Source organism: Homo sapiens, chromosome 1 (genome assembly GCF_000001405.40).
Source record: "Homo sapiens chromosome 1, GRCh38.p14 Primary Assembly".
In the NCBI taxonomy this organism is placed as follows: domain Eukaryota; kingdom Metazoa; phylum Chordata; class Mammalia; order Primates; family Hominidae; genus Homo; species Homo sapiens.
This window is the reverse complement of record NC_000001.11, coordinates 196,993,494-197,019,132: the sequence shown is the minus strand read 5'-3', so window position 1 is coordinate 197,019,132 and position 25,639 is coordinate 196,993,494. Positions and strand designations below refer to the sequence as shown.

The following is a 25,639-nucleotide window of genomic DNA, read 5'->3' as shown; positions in this document are numbered from 1 at the left end:
GGTTGCAGTGAGCCAAGATCGTGCCATTGCACTCAAGCCTGGGCGACAGAGTGAGACTCTTGTCTTGCAGAAAAAAAAAAAAAAAAAAAAAGAATGACAAAAATCAAGTGCCTTTTATAAAACACCAACAAAAATCCAAACTGATGGATATGAACAATATCCTGAAATTACAGGTTACCATTTGCTCTGCAAAGAAGCATACTTGCAACAGTTTTATTTGATAAATTTTTTTGATACATAATTTTTGCTCTAAGACTTTTAAACTATACATTAGTCTCGAAAGCAAAAGAAAATATTAATAAATGGGTATAAAACAAAAACCAAGGCTAAAGCAATCATTTGATTTTTCTCAGATCATCATTACCAAATAAATAATCACCACGTCTTCTGCTTGGTATGCAACTAAACAGATATTTTTTTCTGATTGCGAGGGGAGATAACATCAATTCCTGGGATTTAATCAGGTTTGGATTTAGTTATACTGTCAGTGTAACATATGTCAACAGGAATTATTCAGTCTGCATGTGGGAATTTAGGAGGAGCCTTGAGAGAGAATAACATGATCAAAGTGAAAAAGCATAGAGAACTGGCAGAACAATATTAATTATTTTATGGCATATTTTTGGAGACTAATGGAAGGTAGAGTTGGATAAGTAATTTGAAGTCAAACAAGAAGGGCCTTGTATGTCATAAATGGAGTTTGCAATTATTCGTAAGTAACTGACGTTACTAAACCTTATTTTTCTTAATTCTCATCATTCTAAGGGTAAGCTGTCCTTTGATTAAAAAGTAGCTACCGATGCTCTTTGTCAAGTATGTATTCATTATTCTTAACATTTACAGGGAATTATTCAATGCATTTTTCATTTAATAATGTATTTAATGGCATTCTAGCTATCTATTACTGCATAACAAACCGCTGCAAACTTATAAGATTGGCTTAAAACAAAAAGCAAATTTACTCACAAACCTGAAATTTGGGCAGGGATTGACAGGATGGTGCTTCTCTAATCCACAAGCTTTCAGTTGAGGTGACGTGACTAGGACCGGAATATCTATTTTTAAGATGGCTGACTCACATGGCTAGCAAGATGGTGCTGGCTGTTGGCTGGAAGATCAGCTGAGGCTGTACAGTAGGAGCTGCAGTTCCACTGCACATGAGCCTCTCAACAGGGCTGTTTGGACTTTCTCTGATAGGAAGTATTCCAAGAGACAGGAAGTGGAAGCGGCCACAGTCTTTAAGATTTGGGTCCAGAAACTGACATGGCATAGTTTGGATCATACAAGCTTGGATCATACCAGCTAGGGATTCAAGTATCTTCTGTCTTATTGCTTTACTATTCTTCAGCGGGCTGCTTTATCAACATGATCCGAGATGGCTCACCGCCAGTACATCTGTGTTCTACCCCTTCGGAAAAAGGAAAGAGGAAGTGACAAGCAACGAGATTCCTTTTAATGCTGTGACAAACAAGGGAACAAATTATTTCCACTCATATGGCATTGGCCAGAACTCAAACCAGTGTGGACCTAGAAAAAAGGAGGAAACTGCAGTGTTCCACTATTGTGTCATATACCTAGGCAGAGAAACTTGGAGGGTTTTATTTATAAAAGGAAGAAATAGAGAGCAAATATTGGGGAATTATTTTTAGCAGCTTCTGAAATAGTAGTTAATCCCAACTTGATTGAGATTTAGTTTCTCTCTCAAAAGAATAAGGATTTAGGATGTAAATAAAATTCTATAAGAGAAACTGCATTACTTATACATTGAAATTGAGGGATGAGATTCATTATTGACTAATTTTTGACAATACATCTTGAGGAAATACTGTGATTCTGTGAAAAAAAATTATTGTGCAGAAATGACACAGCCCCTAGTAAATTACTGTGATTTTGTTGATAACAGTGGACTAGGTAATGGCGCGGAGTTTGAAGGAATACCTCGGAAAAACCTTTGTTGGTAGAGAGAAGACAATCACTAGGAGGAAAGAAGAGAGAAAATAAATCCATGTTAGAAATTTTAAATTAAACTAAAATATCTGAGTTCCAAAAGAATACCTAAACTATGAGGATGTTGAAAGGCTACATTTTAAAAGTTTCTGTCTTTGACCAAAGGAAGGAAGGAAGCTCTTCCTGGAAAAGGAAAGGCAATCCCAATGGCATCGGTTTAGGCCACAAAGGCAGAGGGAGCCATAATCCTGCTAAACTGGCATTCCACTCCATCTTCTGTAAATACCATGGCTTAAGATTCATGCAGAAGATCTCTATTTTGGAAAAATAGATGTTAATCTTCTTAGTCTTTATACTGCTACTTTCAAATCAGCAATTGCTATGAGAGAAAAAGTGCCCCCTAAATGCTGAGGTAATTTCTCTATTATGTCTTGGCCCTGTAATGCTTAAATGTCTCAGTAGTGCACTGCTGACTTCCAACAAATTTTACAAATATTTTTCAAATATTTGTAGTGCGGCCAACAAGAGGGTTAAGCCAAAATAATGCAGTGCACCACTGATGGAGGAACTCCTATTCTTATGATTTTAAATAATGCATTTTTGAAAATGTGGAATATGATACGATGAATTGTCAGAATGTCAGCAACTTAGTTTGATTTGGTTCAATGAAAGTATAGACAGATTTCTATTACTGGATAGATAACTGAAGCCATTGAAAAAGCAAATAGGGTAAAACATTAATGATTGATGAATTTAGATGATTCAACAATTGTTAAGTGGGGATGTTTGTTCAAATATTCTATATGAATACTTATCATAACAGAATGTTGGTGGGAAAATGTATAATAGACAGAAAAGTAGGCTTTACCATGTTGCTGTTCTTTAGAACTCAATGTGGGTTAATACATAAATATATCACAGGAACTGGACATTTGCTCTGTTCACTTGCAACAGCACACAGTTTATTTTTTTATAGACAGAAGAAAAAACATGACTGTACAACTCAGTCCTTCCTCAACCTTATTCAGGCTCAATCTTTGCATCAGAAATTTGTGGTGTGATACCATAGGAAATCTGCAACATTGTCTATTAGACCTTTATGACAAAAAATATTTGTAAGTCCAATTCAATATAATAATCAGACATCTGAGTTTGGTTCAAGGTAAAGTTTCTCTTTCCCTCCAACACTGATCTCCTGAAATGGAAGATGTAGTGGGAATAGGGGATATGGTGGACTCTTCTTTTATCCCTGGAAGTTTTTCCCACTCACTGTCCCCTCCAACTTATTATGGCCTTCAACTCCTTCGGGGCCATAGTAGAAGAAGAAAAGTTAGGGTGATACATTTGTGGATAGTTATTAAAACAACTCAGCCCTTTGGAACCTGGTGCTTTCACTGCATTCCAATGCCTTGCTGACTCTTCTTTTTCTAATTAGAATATGCTGCCTTTTGGACAATGTACTTTTAAGTTGGCTTCAAGACAATTTATCTCTCCTTTGTCTCTGACTATTTTCTCTGCCTGTTTCTCTTTATGTTTTTCTTTAATTTCTCTCAGTCATAAGCCAGACAGGTCTGGTGAAATAAATATCAAGGCTTCCATGTAATCTCTTTTTTTTTTCTTAGAAAGAAACATTTAATACAGATTTAATGAACAGAGCCATGTCTGTGTCAGAAGTGGCAGAGAGACAAGATGGTGGATCTCTGAGCCATTATCCCTCAGTCTCAGGGCTTACATACCCCACAGGAGGGGTGGTTCAGAAGGGATGTGTAGGACAATTGAAGTACAATAACTTCAAGGTTGTTTTACCTAAGGACAGGATTGATGGTAAGTACCTGCTCTTACACAAGGAGCAACAGAAGTTGCTTCTGAAGTTAATCAGAAGCCAACAAGGCAGTTTAGCTTCTAAGACGGAGTTACTTTGGCCTCCACATTCCACTCATCTAGTCCAGCTCTTACAATCTCAAGCGCCCTCCTCTTCTAAGATGATCCCTGAAACTTTAGGGAAGGTGCTTGATACTATATAGCTTTAGCAGCAGTGTATTGGCAGTGAAAAACGAGTCGGGGCCCAGTAAGATTTCAAATGGGTGAGATTCACAGGCTCTGTTGAATCATCTCTAGGATACCATGACTTCCATTTTCTTGAAAGAAGTAAAACAATGAGAGATACATAACAATAATAATTTGAATGGTAGAAATACTATGCACAGAGGATTACAATAAAGAGAGAATTTGTATGCCAGAATAACAACAAAAAAGAACCCATTCCATAAAGGAGTCAACTTAAAGCATCACAAGGAAAATTAAAACCTGGTTCTTCTTGAGACTTGTTGCAGCCAGGAAATAATTCAGGATTTAGCCCAGATTGTAGACAGATAATAAAAATTCAGAAACAGTTGCCAGGGCTAGAATCTAAATTTTTCTCTCTCCAGTTTTCCCATTTCTACCAATAATAAATGAAAGCAGGCCAATTTATTTGCAAAATAAATTTTGGTCTCATTATATTTGCCCTGGTCATTTGCATGAAGTACAGCAAGAATAGCGATCAGCCATTTAGAAGTCTTTTAAGTTGGTTTGGCTGGAACTTTTGTAAGGAGTTTTAGATTTGACTTCTTTTGTGTGTGTGTGAGATGGAGTCTCGCTCTGTTGCCCAGGCTGGAGTGCAGTGGCACAATCTCAGCTCACTGCATGCTCTGCCTCCTGGGTTCATACCATTCTCCTGCCTCAGCCTCCCGAGTAGCTGGGACTACAGGTGCCCGCCACCATGCCCAGCTAATTTTTTTGTATATTTAGTAGAGACAGGGTTTCACTGTGTTAGCCAGGTTGGTCTCGATCTCCTGACCTTGTCATCTGCTCGCCTCGGCCTCCCAAAGTGCTGGGATTACAGGCATGAGCCACCGCGCCTGGCCTAGATTTGACTTTTTAAAAGCCTCAAGGCCAGAAGCTAAGCCAAGGACTCACCATTAGACTGTGCTTCTTATACATGTACAAATTCCATGCCTCTTGGGGTCCCCAAATATCCTGAGGCTCCTGGGCCTTTTTGAAAGTGACATTGTTTTTACTTACTACAAGTCAGAAACCTTGCATGGGAATCACTTAGACAAGGTACTAGGCCAGCCTTTCCAAGGGGCTTTTTATTGGCTCTATAAAGTTGGCCTCAATTCCTCAGTCTGGTCATATCTGAAAATATGCCATTTAAGTCAAAGTCTTGATAAAATAACTAGTGTCTCCAGTTATATCCTGTTACAAAATAAAACAGATTCTTACTGAACTTATGGAAATAATTATATTTCTCTAAAAGAAGAATACTTATGAATAGTTTCCAAGTTTTGGAGATCTTGGATAGAGAGAAGGTAAATTTTGCTCGCAAAAAATACTGTACTCAAGCTTGGTAAGCTATAAATAGCTCAAAAGAGAAAGGTTTTCTTGACGCTTTTTCAAACAGAGTAGCAGCTTCTAAACAGGATGTCGTTTGTTCACCTTTAAATTGTCATCCATAAGTCAAGTGGGAATTGAATCACAGGGGAAAAAGTCAGTCCTAGAGGAAAAAATAGCTCCCTGATTCTTAGAATCTCCTCCTTGTGCTCCCCAAGTAGCAAGATCCTATAAGAATCATTTCCATTTTATCATGGAAGTCTTCTGTGCACTGCTGTTTTCACTTGCAGAGGGGTATTTTCCCATAGCAATGCCGTAAATGCCCCTAAAGTGGAAATTCTCTCCTCCAAAGCGCTAGTAGTCGCTGTTGGGAGGCACTCACAGGCTTTTGCCATCAGTCCTAGTGAACATTCCACAAAGGGCTATCAAGTGGAGGATTCATCCCTACCAGCACTCTCAGCTTTCACCCTAAACTCTAGCCTTGGACAATCTTACTAGCTCCCACTTAGCATGTTCAGTTAATATTGCTCATAGGGTGGATTTATATGTCCTGTTTTACAGTACTAGGTAGGGGAAACATTCCTCAGTCAGGCATAATATCCATTTCCACGAAACATTTAGTTAAAGGATACACAACTACTTTACATAAAACCTGCTTAAACATTTCAACTTTCATTTTATAGTCCTATCAACCTTTGCATTTTATGTTTTGGTTCCAGGAATTCATTTTTTTCACCTGCATACCATTTTACTCTCTTGTAAAAAAAGGATTTAGATTTCCAGTAGGGGGGTGAGCCAAGTAGGGGTACTTTGTCAATCTTTTCTTGATTAATCCACCCAAGTAATCTCTTTGAAGCCCTTCTTATTAGACTGGAGGGAATGGGGAATGAAGCTCTACCCATCTTCCCCAAGAAAAGTGGTTGTGGTACTCACAATGCCTGACAAATATCTGCAAGAAAATATTTTCTGTAACTTCTAATTTTAGTCCTTTTGCTTGTTTGGCTTCCTTTATCCTTTATACAGGGAAGTAGTAAGGTAAAGGTAGCAAACATTATCAACAAGCCCTATATTGTTGTTCAAACACCTTGATTTGGAATGTGTCACAGAATAGCTTGAAAAACTTAGAAAAATTCTCAGGAACTGAGAGGGAATGTTCAAGTTTAAAATACTGTTACAGGAACAGTGTGGTGCACTTGCCTGTAATCCCAACACTTTGGGAGACTGAGGTGGGAGGATGGCTTGAGGCCAGGACTTTGAGACCACCCTGGGTAACATAGTAAGGCCTCATCACTACAAAAATAAAAAATAAAATAAAGTAAAATAAAATAAAATAAAATAAGGTTAAGATTGTACTTGGAATAAAACACTTTTATGCTTTTTTTAAGTTTTTGGTAATATTTGTATTCAAGATTTCCCCCTCAGAATTGAAAACTGTTACCTGCCTTCTTCCTAGACATGAAGCCAGCTGTTTCAGATAGATAGAAAGTGTAAGTAACAAATTCTTATTTTTTTATTCAACCCCAGATAATTTTTTCTACATTCTGCTACTAAGCCTAAATTTTAAAATCATTTTTAGTTTTTAAATTTCCAATGTATCCTCATGAATTTTAAACATTGACTACTATTTTTTGTAATGTCTTTGAGATATAATTTACATAACATACAATTCACCCACTTAATGGGTATAATTTAATGTTTTTTTTAGTGTAATCACAGAGTATTACAACAATTACCACAATCAACTTTAGAATATCGCCTCAAAAAAGAAACTCTGTACACTTTGGCTATCAGCTTCTAACCTCTCTTCCTCAGCTCCAACCCTAACCAACCACAGGTCTACCTTCTATCTCTATAGGTTTGCCTAGTCTGGACATGCCATAAAAATGGAATCATAATATGTGGTCATTTGTGACTGGCTTCCTACACTTAGCAGAATATTTTCAAGGTTCATCCATGTTATAGCATCTATTATTACTTCATTCCCTTTTCATGCCCAAATAATATTCCATTGTTTAGATATACCACATTTTGTTTACCCATTCATCAATTGATGAGCATTTAGATTGTTTCCTCCTTTTGGCTAACACAAATAATGCTGCCATAAACATATGTGTACAAGTGTTTTCGTGGACACATTTTTAAAAATTTATCTTGGGTATGTATCTAGGAGTAGACTGCTGAGTTAATGGCAATCCTATTGTTTAACTTTTTTAAAAACTGCAGGTTGTTTTCCAAATTGACCAAACCATTTAATATCCCCACCAGAAGTGTATGTTGCTTCCAACTTCCTTGACATCATTTGTTATTATCTGACTTCTTGATGACACCCATCTTTGAGGGTGTGAAGTGTTATCTCACTGTGGTTTTGATTCATATTTACTTAATAATTAATGATGTTATACATCTTTTCATGTGCCTAATGGCAATTTATATATCTTCTTTAGAGAAATATCTATTTGAATCCTTTGCTTATTTTGAAATTGTCTTATTTCTCTTTTTTTCTGTGTTGTAAAAGTTCCTTACATATATTCTAGATACAAGTCCTTTATGACATATGCAATTTTGCAAATATTTTTTCCCATTGTGTGAGTTCTATTTTCCTTTTTTAATAGTATCCTTTGAAGCATGACATTTTAAATTTTGAGAAAATCCAATTTCTGTACTTTGTATTTTCTTATTTGTGGTTTTGGTGTGATATCTAAGAATCCATTGTCAAATCTGTGGTGATGAATATTTTAAGTCTTAATTTTTACCTGTATTAGTAGTCATATTTTTAATAGATACTTTAAAAAAACCTTTTTTGTTTTTTGAGACAGAGTCTCACTGTGTTGCCCAGGCTGGAGTGCAGTGGCACCATCTTGGCTCACTGCAACCTCCGTCCCAGGCTACTTAAAAAAACCTTCTGACCAAAAATATTTTAACTAAGAAATGCTGTGTGAAATACAGGAATATCTAAAGTATATTTCTAATACTTCCTGTGTAGTATTTTCCCAAACTATGGTACATAAAAAAATAATAAAGTTGTTGCATGAAATCAGCATCATGACCAACATGGTCTTTATACCCATCTTCTATTGCCTTGTTCGTTAGTGACAGTTTTGATCACTCTCTTCTGAATATGAAAGTAATATATGTTCAAAATGAAAAATATGAAATTTGGGACAACGTGAAGAATTTGAAAATATTCCTCCCTCCCTCCCTTCCTCCTTCCCTCCCATCCTTCTTTCCCTGCTTCCTTCCTTCCCTCCTTCCTTCCTTCCTCTCTCTTTCTTTTTCTTCTTCTCTCTCTCTCTTTCCCTTCCTTTCTTTGTTTCTCTGGGACAGAGTCTTGCTCTGTCACCCAGGATAGAGTGCAGTGGCATGATCTCGGCACGCTGCAACCTTTGCTTCCCAGGTTCAAGTGGTTCTCATGCCTCAGCCTCCCAAGTAGGTGGAATCGCGGGTGTGCACTACCCTGTCTGGCTATTTTTTTGTATTATATTAGAGACAAGGTTTTGCCATGTTGGACAGGCTGGTCTTGAACTCCTGGCCTCAAGCAATCCACCTGCCTTGGCCTTCTAAAGTTCTAGGATTACAGGTTTGAGCCACTGTGCCCAGACTATTTTAATTTTTTAAACCTAAACCACATAGAATTATTAAAGCCATCATTTTTTTTCTCTCACTCTTTCTTCTATAACCATTTATACACATCCAGATAATTCTATATATGCAATTTTGTAACCTAATAATTTTCACCTTTTTGTATATGTACATCACCTCTTGACTAGATTAGAAACTCCACAGAAAGACTGGTTAAAACTTCAAAGTCTATTCTTTTGGCTGGGCGCGGTGGCTCACGCCTGTAATCCCAGCACTTTGGGAGGCCGAGGTGGGCGGATCACAAGGTCAGGAGATCGAGACCATCCTGGCTAACATGATGAAACCCCGTCTCTACTAAAAATACAAAAAAATTAGCCGGGCATGGTAGCGGGTGCCTGTAGTCCCAGCTACTCGGGAGGCCGAGGCAGGAGAATGGCGTGAACTTGGGAGGCGGAGCTTGCAGTGAGCCGAGATCGCGCCACTGCACTCCAGCCTGGGCGAGAGGGAGACTCCGTCTCAAAAAAAAAAAAACAAAAAAAACCCATTTCAAAGTCTATTCTTTTACAGCAGATAGTGCATTTAATACTTTAAGGGGTATTTAGTATTGGATAGGTAGCTAGACTTACATTAGAGGATTTATAAATATTTATTAATACTTGCTACAACCACAAAAGTTGACAGCTTTCGCAGGTTTTTAAGTGATAATAACATGAAGATAGAGACTAAAATAACATCTACATTTCCTTTTAAATAACGTTAATTCAGAAAGTTTCAAAGTTATCCTATAATTTGAGACAAACAGGAGGGATTAGATGAATTAAGTACTGAAGCGAGAACATTTACTGTTTCTGTGGACATTTATGAATAAAATTCCCCATGTTGTGATTTGCCCAGGAACAATTTGAGTTTCTCCTGTGGTTTGAATGTGTCCCCGAAAGTTTACGTGGAAACTTAACTGCCAATGCAACAGTGTTGTCAGGTGAGATCTTTAGAAGGTGATTAAGTCACGAGAGCTCTATCTTCTTGAATGGATTAATGTCATTATCATGGGATTGGATTGTTATCTCAGGAGTGGTGTCTTTATAAAGGATGAGTTTGCGCTCCTCCCCGCCCCCGCCACTCTGTCTCTCTCTCTCTTTTTCTCTCACTCCCATGTACATGCTCTTTTGCCACGTGATCCCTTCCACCATGTTGTGATGCCTTCCAGCATATTATGATGCTTCGAGAAGACCCTCACCAGAGGCAGCCCCACCATCTTGGACTTCTCAGCTTTTAGATTTATGAAACAAATAAACTATTGGTTAGAAGTTATCCAGTCTGTGATACTCTGTTATAACAATGTAATATGGACTAAGACACCCTCCTATTAAGTGAAACATTGTTCTCTCAGCTTACAAATTTCTAAAGCTCTAAAAATCCAGAGTTCTAAATAAAACTGAGTTAAACAACACCTGAAAGAATAAAAGAAGTAACTACAGAATTGGCTACATAATGGCTACTTTTAGCATAGATGGATGTTTGAAGAATATATTCAGGAAAATTATGCTTGCTTCATTCACATATAGGATATTCAAATTTCCCTTCCTGACAGATTGCTCGAAATGGTGGTGATGATATCATCGCTTTATGTGGGAATTTACACTGGAATTCAACAGCATCCCCTGTTTTTGCATAGAGTTTTCCATCGTTTCTCCATTTTAACTGTATGTTATTTTTGTTCATGTTTTCTTCAGATACCACACATGGATCTGAAAGAAGAAATGGTAAAATAAAATAAATAAATAATAATACATCTTTACCTTTCATAGAATAGTGAAATTGCATTTAAGAATATTTTGGAATTAAAATGATGAAAAATATTAATATTTATTTAAAAAATAATATTTATTGAGTTATTCTTGGTACTGTTCTTAGCACTGTGTATGGGCTACATATGAGGAAATAAATGCTAAGAGATTTTCTCAAGGCTACACAGTTTAGTGAGTGTTTTGAGCCAGAATATGCATCCTGCCAGTATGAGTTCAGAACCTGAGCTCTTAATTGCTATACTTTACTAAAAATTCTACCAGCATGAATGTTGTTTGTTTAGATATCCCTTTTTATAATGTAATTATTTGTGAATCTTAACTTTGTGAAACCTTGATTTCTGTAGAAAAAACAATGTTATCTTCTTCCCTGACCCCAGATATCACTCACTCTTTCTTAAAATCAGCACTTTATATATATATTTATATATATCTTATATATAATATATAATACATAATACATAATATAATGTGTATATATAACATACATTTATATGTATGTTAATTGTAATATATGTACGTTAATTGTATACATGTTACATACAATTTATATCTAATGTAATGTAATCAATTTATATCTAATGTATAAATATATATCGGTATATTATGTATAATATATGGATTATATATAATGTATAATATAATATATTATACATAACATATTATATGTATATTATATGTATACATATATTGTATGTATATGTATCATGTGTATATAAGTATACATATATTATACATACATACTTATGTATATTTAGATATGTTACATATGTATATGTGTATACATATATGTTAAAAATATATGTAATATGTAATATATTTATATTACATATACACACATGTATATGTAATTATACACTTGTATGTATATTAGAGTGCTTAACTCTCCACATCCTTGCCAAGTCTTTATGTTATATACTTTTTTCTTTTTGCCGATCTCCTAGTTGAACATTGACACTTCACTGAAATTTTATGTTCGTGTAGACAAGCATTCTTTCATGTTTGCCATATGTTTTTCATTTTCTGTTTATGTACCTTACATAATTTTTATACTGAATTTTGATTGATTTGTAAAAATTCTTATGTGTTAAGCACCTGAGAATATTCTCCATAAATCGAGAAATTTTGAAGTTATCTTTAACCCCTCTTTCATTTGGTTCCTGTTTTTTACCTACTAGTCAAGACTCTAATCTATCTCTGCCAGGGCCTTAAACAATTTCCCCATATTGCATGTTTTCTCGGTGTAAAATAACCACATGTTCTTAGTCAACTGATAATTTAAAAATACTACATTGGGCCGGGCGTGGTGGCTCACGCCTGTAATCACAGCACTTTGGGAGGCCGAGGCGGGTGGATCATGAGGTCAAGAGTTCAAGACCAGCCTGGCCAACAGGGTGAAACCCTGTCTCTACTAAGAATACAAAAATTAGCCGGGCATGGTGGCATGTGCCTGTAATCCCAACTACTCGGGAGGCTGAGGCAGGAGAATCGCTTGAACCCAGGAGGCGGAGGTTGCAATGAGCCGAGATCACGCCACTGCGCTCCAGCCTGGGTGACAGAGCAAGACTTTGTCTTGAAAAAATAAAAATAAAAAAAGATGCTATGTCAAAAAACTGCTATTAAAAATATGTAATGGCTCCCTACTTCATTCAATACCCATGAACCATCCAAATAAATTTATGTCTGGTTTTGGAAAAAATTATATCTTTTTTTTTTTTTGACGGAGTTTCACTCTTGTTGCCCAGGCTGGAGTGCAATGGTGCAATCTCGGCTCACTGCAACCTCCACCTCCCAGGTTCAAATGATTCTCCTGCCTCAGCCTCCCGAGTAGCTGAGATTACAGGCACGTGCCACCCATGCCTGTCTAATTTTGTATTTTTAGTAGAGATGGGGTTTCTCCATATTGGTCAGGCTAGTCTCGAACTCCCGACCTCAGGTGATTCTTCCTGCCTTGGCCTCCCAAAGTGCTGGGAATACAGGCGTGAGCCACCATGCCTGGCTGGAAAAAATTATTTCTTCAGAGCTGTCTAATCTTAATCTCCTATCTCATGGGAAATAAAATTATTTTACATTTCATAGTTAGATCATGTTTCCTTGAATTTTCCAGATATCTATGATGGGTTTTTTTGCTTGTTTGTTTTCGTGATTGTGTGTTTGTGTTTGTTATTGTTCAAAATACTGTTTCTTTTTGCTAGAATGCCCTTCCCACAAACTCTGATTGTCAACATGGTACACACTTTTTAGGTTACAAATTTTGTTCTTACTTTTCTTTTGGAAATTTATTTTATGATCACTGGCCATGATAATTTCTGCGAATTTTAAATTATTGGACCATCTAAAACTTGGCTGTACTTAAAATATTAGATAATGGCATTTTTGTCTATCCATCAATCACTCCAAGTTAAATCCTAGAAGTTATCTTTGAAACCTAGTTTTTCTTCATTCTAGCAAAATTGTTCAGATGATACTTCTGCCTTATACTAACTCAACACTTTCTGAGTTCAGTTCCCACACAATTTTAATGATATCCTGGGAGAGGGGCTCACACAGAGTAGTGGTTTGAAGCACTGTATAGGCCATAGTGGCATTGGGGTAATTTGTTACTACAGAAGGTGGAAGAAAGAGACATCGTCAGAAGGATGAATTTTCAAGACTATAACAAACTTCTGGTCTAGCCCTGTGAGGTATTGGGCAACAGTGAGAACTGTTGCAGGAACAGATCCTTATTACCATGGTGTCTCTTTTGGACACCAGAAAACAGAGGGGTTTATGGAAATTCCAGTTTTCTTCCACTTATTATAGAGTAAACTGACGTTCATGCTTTTCCCATAATTGGTGTTATTAATTCGCCCCATATCTTTGTATTTTGTCCCTTTTAGTTTGTCATGACCGATAAAAGAATCTCCTTTTAAGCCCTAAAAGTGAATCTCCAAATTTTCATAAGGAGTCTACGATGTTAATTTTTTTAATGCCACAAAGTGCACATGAATTTGTGGAAACTTAATATGTATATTGGCATTATTTTGTAGTAGAAAAAAATAGGGTGAAAAGAAGGGATAGTGAAGATTTAGAAAGTGGCTCAGTAACTCTTCCAGATTTTCTATCTCTCCTGCTAGAAATTCTGCCAACATGCAAGTAAAAAGCCATGTCAGTATTAGTCAACTAGGTGTTCTACTAGGGAAAGCTTTCAGGTTTACAAGTAGAACCTTATATAGTATTAAATGACAGTTTTCCTAGACCAGTGTTTTTCAAAGGGTCTCTGTGAGAAGTTCTCAGGTAGATGCTTATAACATGAAACAATTTAATGGAGTGCGAATAGGCCCCATAAATAGCTCTGGACTCTACAGAATTTCATAATGCACCTTATCACATGTAGGTCTTTAAAATTTTATTTATAGTTTTTAAATAAATTTTTCTCACTTTGCATAAAGCAAATTTTTCAAATGTTTCCTTGTATGTATTTACATTTGACAGGAAAGATTTTGACTGAATGAAACTTAAGTAAGGGTTATTCTATGAAATTAGTCCAAAAAAATTACACTATAAATATTAAATCTCAGATTCCAAGAGAATATTAAGAACTCACCTAGGCATCTTGGTGGTTCTGACCACTGTTTATTTCTGCATGTTACAGTTACAGAGCCCTGGAGTTTATAGAAGGACTGGCAACGGTACGTCACTGTTGACCCTGGAGGATATACTGATAATGGGAATGAGGTGGTATCTCCATTGTTAATAGATGGAGGGGGCCCACAATATGCAGTAGACTCTGGAAAACAGCATTTATTTGTTGAGACATTATGTTAGTTTAAACAAAATAATATAATGAAGCATCATGTATCATATCTTTAATATAAGGTGTCTGGAAATTCAAATAATTAATTACAGTATTTCTGTCATAAAGTCTGATTCAAAACATATTGTAGCTCCTTTCATGTTAAAGTGAAATTCATATAAAATACCGGGAATACTTTTTATTGAAGGCAGGAGAGACAGGTGAGTAAACTTCTGGTCTAGGTTCCTCCTCCACCCCTTAATATTCAATTGTCACTTAAAGAGGAAAGGTAAAAGTAAATAACTTTCTTACTGTTTCTAGTCTCAGGGTAATTATTACTTTATGCAAATAGCATATACCAACTAGTATATGATCATAAACTTGTAGTTTTACTGAAAATGAATTGCAGACACACTCTTCTGCATTTACTTTTTTGATACCAAATAATATTGTAGGCATCTTTCCCTATCAATAAATGTTTCAACTTCATGCTAATGAAGAGATTTTGGGGAAAACTAAAAAAAGTAACAACTTCATGCTAAGATTGGCTGGAATACGTTCAATTGTACTGACTGATCTCCCTTTATATATCACCAAGAACATAAATATGAAATCACTAAGTAATCCTATCCCAAATTGCTTGTACATCCTCTAGTTTCATTGAGTTACTGTCCTTGCTTTCTCAGATTGACTTCTTCATGATGACACTAGATTCTTTCACCTTTAAACTTGTAAAAGATCCTTCTTCATGAATTATCTCCTTTCTTCTGTAACATCAATGTCTCCCTTTCCACTTAATCATTCACCAACCTACAAACATGCTGAAAATGTCACAATTCAATAAGGTAAAATTTCACTTTCTCCATATCTTCTATCCGGTAACTGCCTCATTTCTCTATTCCCTTTTGAACACATTTACTTGTTTCTCATCCTCCATGATCTTACTTTATCACCCCACATTCTTTCTTGAACACACTGCAATTACTTACCCCCTATGGAAATATCTCTAGGCAAAATTACCAATGGTTTTTATTTAGATAAATAGATTGTTCAATTATCAGGCATCTTGTCCAGCTCTAAGCACTCTTTGCCATATCTGATGTTTTGTCAAGTAATATTTTGAAATATGTGCTTTTGAAATGCAGCCATGTAGCACTTAATGACAAGAAGATATTCTGAGAAATGTGTCATTAGGCTCTTTTTTCCTTGTGTGAGCATCATGGAGTGAGCCTACACAAACCTAGATAATGTTGCCTACTACACACCTAGGCTATATGGTGCAGCCTATTGCTCCTATTGTCCCCAAACCCCTGGCTGCAGACCAGTACCCTCTGTGGCCTCTTAGGAACCGGGCTGCATGACAGGAAGTGAGAGGCAGGCGAATGAGCATTACTGCCAGCATTACTACCTCCTGTCAGATCAACCAGGGCACTAGATTCTCATAGGATCTTGAACCCTATTGTGAACTGCACATGCAAGGGACCTAGGTTGCATGCTCCTTATGAGAATCTAATGCCTGATGATCTGAGGCACAGGAGTTTCATCCTGAAACCATCCCCCAACCTCCTCAGTCCATGGAAAAATTGTCTTCCACAAAACATGTCCCTGATGCTAAAAAGGTTGGGTATTGCTGTCCTAGGCCACAAACCTGTACAGCATGCTACCATACTGAATACTATAGGCCATTGTGACATGATGGTAAGTATTTGCATATCTAAACATATTTAAACATAGAAAAGGTACAGTAAAAATATGATAGAAAAGATTTTTAAGAAGATGTAGAAATTTCAAACTTGTTTCTTCTATGAACACTGTTGGAGATAACTCTTAGAGAAACTTTTTTAAATGACAGAATTGGTTACTTAGCAATTTAAGGCTTTGGGGTACAGTGCAACAGATTAGTCATAAGTTCTTGTTTCTTTCTTTAGATAAAGCAAAGGGGATTAATAACCTCTTTTTAAGTGAAATTACTTAGAAATAAACTACTAACCAACACAGCGTGGTAATGATTGCCATCGTCCATCTTTACATACAATTTCTTTTGCTTCTGGAAGTAGATAGTTTTCTTTACAGAGAACAGCTACTTTTTCTCCATCCTGATAATTCACTGTGGTTGTCATATTCTGAGCATTAGGTATCTGAGGTGGCGGTGGGCAGAATTGTTCCCTTTTTTCTACAAAATATTGGAATTAAATTATATGATTAATAAAAGTTAAGTAAAAACAGCTCAATAGGGTAGTGTTTCAGGAAAATGGAAGATTCAATGACACACACACACTATGTCTCTCTATCACTTTCTCTTTCTCTCTCCCTATATATAAATGTTATAATAACAAATATTTTTTGTGTCACTATAGTTTACAGTTTAAAAAGCGATTCTTTTTGTTATAACCATTAGTTTAAAATTTTTCAGATGCTCTCTTGTATCTCCTATTCATTATTCCTGTCAATTCTCTTGTATAATTTACAAATAAATTTCTTTAATTTTTTTCTAACTAACCCATATGATTCAAAAAGTTATGTACATTGAATTTAAACAATTTAAAAATAAAAATGACAACAATCAGAAATAACTATGACTTCCCCTAATAACTGAACCCTAGATCTCAATAAAGGATTTCCATGACTTGCATTTTCTTGTAAACATGAGAATGGCTGGTAATGAACATAACTGGAATGCCTCCGTTGGACTAGGAATTAAATTCTTTTTTGGTTGCTTGGCTTATTCTTAGGGAAAAGTTTTAAATGGTCAACTTGGATGCCAAAGCGTTTTCTAAACCTCCTGACCTGGGCTCATGCCCTTACAGTGATCTCCTTCATCTCATGTTTTTCCAGAGTGGTGGCTACTGTCTACTAACACTTCCCTTCAAAATGGTGGGAATTGAACAATGAGAACACATGGACACAGGAAGGGGAACATCACACACCGGGGGCTGTTGTGGGGTGGGGGGAGGGGGGAGGGATAGCATTAGGAGATATATCTAATGCTAAATGACGAGTTAATGGGTGCAGCACACCAACATGACACATGTATACATTTGTAACAAACCTGCACGTTGTGCACATGTACCCTAAAACTTAAAGTATAACAATAATTAAAAAAAACATATTCAGTGAAAAAAAAAATTATTGCATTGAAAGTGCTATTTTTTTTCCTCGCTATACTATTTTCATTTAAAAATCAAGACAGAAGAGTGCATATCTACTCTTTCCTGGTTTAGCTAGATTAAAAAATATAATAATTATATACAACAGATCTTTAATAAATTATTTGAACAGAACCTGAGGTCAGTATAAAATAAGCCAAAACATACATATTGTCTAAAATAGGAATTTTATACTGGATTTTTCCTTATTTTTTCAAGGTCAGAAAGGCAAAATAGTGCAAATCTAAACAGAAACTGTTCCTGTGGAAATCTAGATAGATATCTGGGACTGGGGCCCACTGATGCGTATTTTATGTTTTATATGACTCGTCCTACTTATTTACTGGTTTAAGAAAAGCGTGAACTTAAAGTACTTAGTTCCAGATGCATCTTATTCTAGTCAACCATTAACAAGACCAGTCTTTTGTGATCAGTGTTGTTTCAGTAATTAACTGCAAAAGAAAATAAAATTAGCCTGATATTATTATTGTTAGTATACATTTTTGATTAGCAAAGTTTGGTCATGAGTTTGAAGAAAGTCTATGAGAAGCACATGAAAAGAGGATATCAGGCACATTTGATAGATAGATGGGTCAGTTTTCAATATTATTTATTATTTAGAAGCTCTTCTACTTAATGTCTTATTACCTCTTTGTTTAGGTATTTTGTAAACATTTTGGAAACTAAACATTTTTGTTGTTTATGAATTTCTGTTTGGTGGTTTAAGTATTTTTATTTAAATACATAGTCACAAAGATGAATACTTATTGAGTATCATCAAGACTCTTTTGAATGAGCCTCAAGGCCTGTGCTGCCAATCTAGGGACTCAGCAGTTACCTGCTATGAGCCTCCTAGATGTCCCAGTGCCAGGAAATAGGGAAGCTGAAGGTGTCTGTAATCTCAAATGTACAAATAATAATGAGAATTTCATCAACAAAGTCCCAACTAAGTGAGTTAGATATTCAAATATCACACATATACTATTGTTTTTATATTTTAGGTAAAAAGAACATTACACATAATGATCTCAGTTGCCCACCTTACTTTCCTTTTAGAATTGGACATCTGTTTAGAAATTTCTGTCTAGTAAAGACAGAGTCTAGTTGAAACAGCACTGATATAAAAATCTGGAAACAAGTTCCAGTCTTGATTTTGACCAAATAACTTCTTGAAGCCATGTATTTCTGATGCATAAAATGAGAAATTTTATTATTTTTCTCAAGAACAAGCAAGGTGTGTAACAAATATTTGCCACCTAATAACGTTCTTACCTAATTTCCAGACTACTAGCTACCAGCTCTTCTCAAAACTTTAAATAAGGCTTCTTCCTTATTTTGATACCTATGACTCATAGTATTTTCCTTCTCTTTATGCTTGTAATTTATTTATTTAAAAAATTGAACTCATATTATTATTCCCTGTATTTCAGTTTTCATCTACTCTTTGGTTGTAGAAATGTTTATTTGTGTATGCACACCATTCTTGATTAGAGTCAACTCATTTAGACAGCTCTGCTTATTAATCTTTTCAAAACATTAGTTTCATATCTTGGATTAGTTGGAAATACAAGGTTCTATTTCATTTTCTTCTGCTTTTACTTTTATTATTTCCTTTTCCTCCTAATATCTGAATTCATTTTCCCCCTAGCTTTTTAGGATATACATATATATTATATATATACACACACACACACACACACACATATATATACACACATATATACATATATACATATATGTGTGTGTGTATATACATATGTGTGTGTATATATATGTGTGTGTGTGTATATATATATATATATATATATATATATATATATATATACTTTTTCCCAAAATAGATAAGTTTAAGACTATGAATGCCACATCATTCTAAATTTTGCTTAGGTTGCATCTCATAGGTTTTACTACGTATCCTTGTAATTATAACATAGTTCTTAATATTTTAAACATTACATCACTAGGTTATTTGGAAGTAAATTATTTGCTTACCCAAAATGAAAGGTAAGGAAGTGGATAACTTTTTATACACTTTTAATGTTATTTGTTTGTGGTTACAAAAAGTCATCTATAGGGCTTTAATATTTGAAGTTGTGAGAATTATTTTGGGCAGAATGACTGGCCAATTTAAGTAAACATTTCATGGACACATAAAAGGCTTCAAACTTCTTTCAACTATCAGAATATTTCTCTTCCTCAAATAGAAAAAATATATAATGAAATCAAATATTTTATAAACATAAAAATGTTCCAGTTGCTTTAAACAAATTGTAGTTATCTTATCTTTTTGAAATCCTTATGTATTTAAGTTTAAGAATATATTCCAGTATTTTTCCTCACAATTTCTAATGACATCACACTTTTTGCTATAAATTAGTATTTTATATCATTAATGTGTATTTTATATGATTTCTTTCAAACTATGACCTTGTGTGTAAACTCCTATCCTTCCTGTGGTTGCAAATTTCTTTATTTTGGAATCATTAGTGAATTATATTGGTACATAGAATGACTGGTTGCCAGTTACTTTCACTAAGCACTTTGAAGAGATTACCTTATTTTCTTCGGCTTTTGACGTTGCTGATGAGAAGTCTGCAGTCTATCTTCTCTCTTTTATTGTCATTCCTTTATAAGCACTTTGTTTTCTCTAGTTCTGGTTTATTTTAATCTAATATGGTGCCCCATTTTATAATTACTTGTAATTTATAATCCTATTACTCAAAGTAAATGATTTGAATATAAGCCTTCGAGGAATGTGAGACTTTTTCTTAGGGAAATAATTGATTACTCAAATATATTTTCTTTCTCAGCCTACTTTTTACTCAGCCTACTGTCTGGTCCAGAATTGGCAATATCTGTTAGTTTTGTTTCACAGTGCATAATTGGGGTTTTAATTGTTTCTTAATGTCATTGAAGATTAAGTTTTGTTCTTTTTTTACAGTTCTTTATTTCTTTTTTTCTTTCAAGGTTTTGTGAGACTGTAATAGAGTAAAAACAGCTTTACTCTCTCATCTTTACCAGAAAGCCAAGGCTTTTAAAGAATAACATTTGTCTGGAAAGAGTATTATAACTAGTTTCTACTTTACTATTAGCATAGAAATTATATGCCACAATAAATATTTAATTTAAAAACATTCTAATTTCAAAATAATTTTTCTTGTAAAGAAGCAACAAGATCAACAAAATGTTTTAAACAAATCTTACCTGTGCAGTCTACTTCAGGATTCCATTTCCCGTTTATACAGACTGAGTGCCTGTATCTGAAGATGTCTGAACATCTGTAACGTATTCTAGAATTATGATTAAATTCTTTCCCAGATAGCTTGAGTAATGTTTTTATATTAACTCCTGCTATTTTGCACCTCTTAAGTTGGTGTGTTGCTATAAAAAATAATATTAAATAGAAACTAAACAATTATGTCAATAAAATATCTGCAATATTAATAGCATAATTATGTTTGATGCTTTTAAGCAACATCACAAAACTTATTCTTAATCTCATTGCACAAAATAGACAATGCTGTTGGAAAAAGAAAAAATAAAACAAAAAACTGTATCCCATCTTTGAATGACAGGAAAGTAGGTCAGAAAGTTTTCTGGGAAATGAAAGTGCAAGATAGGTTTTCCTAGTGGGAGTTTTGACTGAAAGATAGTTCTTAGGAAGCTACAAATGAATTGTTAGAGGCTCTGAAAATGTACACATGTATGATTGTTTTGCACTAAACTATCTTAAATATCTTCAAAACATTTAAATAATAAAAAGAGGCAATACATGGGTAAGTCTGCAGGAAGCAAAGCATCAGTAAGAGATAGATCTGGGTCCCCCTTGAGGTTCAATGACTCACATTTCAAAAGCTCAGCAAAAACTCTGACTCAGTAAGTCAGAGTATTCTCAGGGGAAGAACTCACTGATAATAACACAACTGAGCTTCAGAACATAAATTCCTACTAAGCCTCTTGCTTGTCTAAGTAGTTCTCATTGTTACATTTTTTTCCCGTTTCCCATAAACATGTAGATAGTTATGGAGCCTTTTCCTTAGTGTGTAAAAGGATGGGATAATGAGACATGGAGTGTGCTCTGCTACTTCTATGCTTACAGGTGTTTTCTGCAATAGTTTCTATTTTTAATTCACCCCATATGGGGCTAGAGGTTGATATTTATGTACTCCTTGCATAAAAGTTGATGACCATGAAGATATATGATCTACATCTTCCCATAACAGCGTTCTGGCTCCTGGTAGTGGAAAACATTCCCTCACAATAGGTCATCACGGATGGCCACTGACCAGGTATTTGCTGGGACAACGGCTGGCAACACCTACAGTAATTTTTCCCAGCAATGAGTGGGCCAGTTGATTATCCAAAAGTCCAGGAGATGGAGAGAGAGGCGGTTCTGTTTCAGTTTCTGTAAGGAGGAGAACAGCGGCGGAAAGTCTGCTTGTCTTTAAAGTTCAAAATTAGAGGCTTTAATGTATTGAGGTTGCTAGAGATAGGACAAAAGAGGCCAGGATCTGAGGGTGTCGGGAAAAAAAATACCTGCAAGTACTTAAGTGTCAAGGCTGGAAGTCCTGAGGCTGCAAGGTAAGAGTAGAGCACACAGGCTGATAGACTACTACTACTTACTACTTACTACTTACTTACTACTTACTACTTACTACTTCTGTGGAGGAAACCGACAAACTAAGTAGATAATTAGGAATAGAAATAAGAGAATTATGGGACCAGAAAGAGCAAGGATCATGCCTAGTTCCTGGGTCCTAGTCCCCTACTCTTCTTCTATGAAGGGATTCCAAACACTCTGGAATTTAATAGAACTCAAGCTACATTGCTATTTTTTAGGTTGTTCTATCTGGAACATGCTGAGGTAAAGACTAAGTTAAAGCAATGAAATAAAAGAAATTAAATCGCCATCATTTGTAGAAATACAATATCCCAATTAAATATTAGAACTAATACAGAAATTCAACAAGGTTACTGGAAACAAAAATAATGTATGCAATTAAATCACATTCTTGCATATAGAAAGTATAACTATTCAAGCATATACATTAATAAAAGTTTCCATTCATCATGCCAGAAAAATCCCAAATAAATTGGTGAAGAAATCTGTGCAGTAATAACAAGAAATTCATAAAACCATATGGTAAAGTTTAATGTAAGACCTGAATAAATGGATTGACATATTTTACTTGTGGAAGGAAGAGTCAGTATCAATAAAATTGTAATTCTAGCCAGATTTATACACTTTATACAATCCCAATCAAAATGATAAATAATCAAATATAAAGTTTAGGAATGTTTTCTCACCAACACACATAGGAAGCTCTGTCCATATTCCATTAATACAGGTAATCATGTTATTTCCAATCATTGCATATTCATTTCTGCAATTCACCTCGACTGAAACTCCATGTTGATAGGGAGGGACAGACGGCTGAACATAACCGTACTCGAGTTCAGGTATGTATCCACATGTTTTCACTTGTTCTAAGAAAATGTAATAAAATGAGTGCTTACTCTGAAAATATTTTAAATCTGTTTACATGTGTATTTATATATAAGTGCAAAGTAATAGTAACTGTCCTGTTTAAATGTTAATATTTATTTACCAACACAAGTGGGTAAAGTTGTCCATTCTCCATCCACACATTGTATTTTCTTAGGCCCGTTTATTATAAAATTAGGATTGCAATCATATTCCACTACTTCATTGTGTCCATATTCCTCTTTTCTTATCTCCTTAACTTCACCATTGGAGAGTTGAGGAGGTGGACCACATGATCGTACTTGTCCTATTATAAAGAAACCATAAATAATGCTTAAATGGTCTTATAAGTATAGAAAAATGTGGAGTTACTAAATTTTTGACTTAGAAATTAATTGCCTTTATATTGCACTTCTATTTTTGGGGACATGTGTTTTTTGCAGTGTACATAGTGTATTGACTGCATTCGTTTCCTCAAATATTGACACTTTTCATGATGAACAATTTTGAGCAAATGAAAGGAGAAAGAATGCATAATGAACACTTATAAACTGATTACCTAGATATAAAAATGTTACACTTTGCCCTATTTACTTATTTTTTGTGAAGTAATTGAAAGTAAATGACAGTGAAATTTTAGTCCTAAATTCTTCAGAATGCTATCTCATAAAGACATTTGCCTACATATACAAAATATCTTTTACATTTCACCAAATTAATAATATTTTCTTAGTACAATCTTATATCCTCTCTATATTTAAACATCCTGATTGTCCATCTTTCCCAATATTTTGTAGGCTGTTTATTATAATCAGGATATTAAGTTGTACCCTTGAAGATTTTTAAGTAGGTCAATAATCTGAAAGTTATATAAAAGTAAATAGTTATCAAATATGTGATATAATATACATATGCAATGTATAGTTATAACTTTTATTAATATCTATAAATACTTTGATATGGATTGGCTGTGTCCTCACCCAAATCTCATCTTGAATTGTAGCTCCCACAATTCCTATGTGTTGTGGGAAGAACCTGGTGGGAGGTAATTGAATTATGGGGCGGATCTTTCCTGTGCTATTCTCATGATAGTGAATAAGTCTCACGAGCTCTGATGGTTTTATAAAGGGAGGTTTCCCTGCACAAACTCTCTTCTCTTGTCTGCCATCATTCGAGATGTGCCTTTCACCTTCTGCCATGATTGTGAGGTCTCCCCAGCCACGTGAAACTGTGAGTCCATTAAAACTCTTTCTTTTGTAAATTGCCCAGTCTTGGGTATGTGTTTATCAGCATTGTGAAAAGGGACTAATACATACTTCAAATAATGTGATAAGCCATTTTTGATAAAAATAGTGCCATCTGAAGCAGGTATAAATCATCACTGTTTTCTAATGAATAATTCGTATATGCAATGACTTATTTTCTTAATTACTTAATAAAATATAACATTGTTCGTACAATATTTCTAAAAAGTATAAATTTTTTATTGAGCTAGATGGAAAAATCCTAAGACGTCTCAATTCCAGCTACTATATTTTGACCTATAAAATCCTATTATGTATTGTAAAACACAGAAGTAGAATTACTCCTTGATTACGGACACCTAAATAATCTATGCAGCTCAATTACTATAGAACTGCATCCTTTCTCCTTTGCCATTTTACCACTTTGTCAGATTATAGATGTAATATAAGCTCCAATAAAAATATATGGGCATTATTATAAAAATCAAATTCTTGTTTCATCACTTCTAAAATAAATACTGACCTTTGCATGTTGGAAAGTTAGGTGACCACCCAAATTGGTAACATTGAACTGAGTCTGATCCAACTCTTATAAGATTTTTTCTGCAGGAGAATTTCAACACGTCTCCAACTTTGTAGCTTTCTTTTTTTGGCTGAGCATCTACATTGGCTTCTAAAATTGGAACATGACATTCTCCTTCTAAAAATAAAATTAAATGAACATATGTGAATTTTCATTGCAGAAACAAATTTAATGTGTGCTATATAAAAATAAGATGCAAGGGGCTTCATATACAGAGTATAAAATATATTCTTGCCTTCGAGAAAACATATAGACTAATTATTTATACCCAATAAATATATCTAAGACCCCTCAGGCAAATTGGGAAACTGTATATAGCAAGGTAACATTTTCTATGAGAATCTTTTCAGGATTGTAGTAAGAATGTCCTGTGAAGTTACTCATACAGTAAATTATTTAATTTGTTTAATTAGCAATATTAGTTCTAATTTTATTGTTTAATAAATAAGTTTAATAACATTATTTGTTTATAATACAGAATAGGAATATTTTTTTCTCACTAAATCACAAAAAATTCCTTCAAGTAACAAAATAAAATTGCAACATATTTAATTACTTTTTGTCAAATAAAAAAAATGATGTATAAAAAGTAGATATGTGGGCCTGACATGGTGGGTCATGTCTGTAATCCCAGCACTTTGGGAGGCCAAGGTGGGCAGATCACCTGAGGTCAGGAGTTCAAGACTAGCCTGGCCAACATGGT

The 25,639-nt window shown here is 34.8% G+C and overlaps 1 protein-coding gene across 2 annotated transcripts in view, besides 2 other annotated features; it reads right to left on the bottom strand.

The window, feature by feature from the left end:
- Window positions 517-1,716: an enhancer, noted in NCBI's record as "BRD4-independent group 4 enhancer chr1:196986547-196987746 (GRCh37/hg19 assembly coordinates)". NCBI's record gives its function as "activates an origin of replication core promoter dependent on BRD2, P300/CBP, MED14 and CDK7 cofactors, and independent of BRD4, by STARR-seq in HCT116 cells {active_cell/tissue: HCT116}" and the evidence as "EXISTENCE:reporter gene assay evidence [ECO:0000049][PMID:35650434]".
- Window positions 5,047-5,247: a silencer, noted in NCBI's record as "peak639 fragment used in MPRA reporter construct". NCBI's record gives its function as "represses an SCP1 promoter by STARR-seq MPRAs in K562 erythroleukemia cells {active_cell/tissue: K562}" and the evidence as "EXISTENCE:reporter gene assay evidence [ECO:0000049][PMID:32103011]".
- CFHR5 (complement factor H related 5) overlaps window positions 9,455-25,639 on the bottom strand; it is a 34,645-nt gene continuing 18,460 nt past the window's right edge. For both annotated transcript variants that reach the window (XM_011510020.3, NM_030787.4), the window contains exons 4-10: window positions 24,877-25,053; window positions 23,234-23,416; window positions 22,932-23,111; window positions 20,829-21,005; window positions 16,469-16,651; window positions 14,290-14,472; window positions 9,455-10,646 (exon numbers count right to left, since the gene is read on the bottom strand). In XM_011510020.3, coding sequence (XP_011508322.1) covers window positions 10,450-10,646; window positions 14,290-14,472; window positions 16,469-16,651; window positions 20,829-21,005; window positions 22,932-23,111; window positions 23,234-23,416; window positions 24,877-25,053 — 1,280 coding nt within the window. In that variant the 3' untranslated portion in view covers window positions 9,455-10,449. The remainder of the gene's footprint in view (window positions 10,647-14,289; window positions 14,473-16,468; window positions 16,652-20,828; window positions 21,006-22,931; window positions 23,112-23,233; window positions 23,417-24,876; window positions 25,054-25,639) is intronic.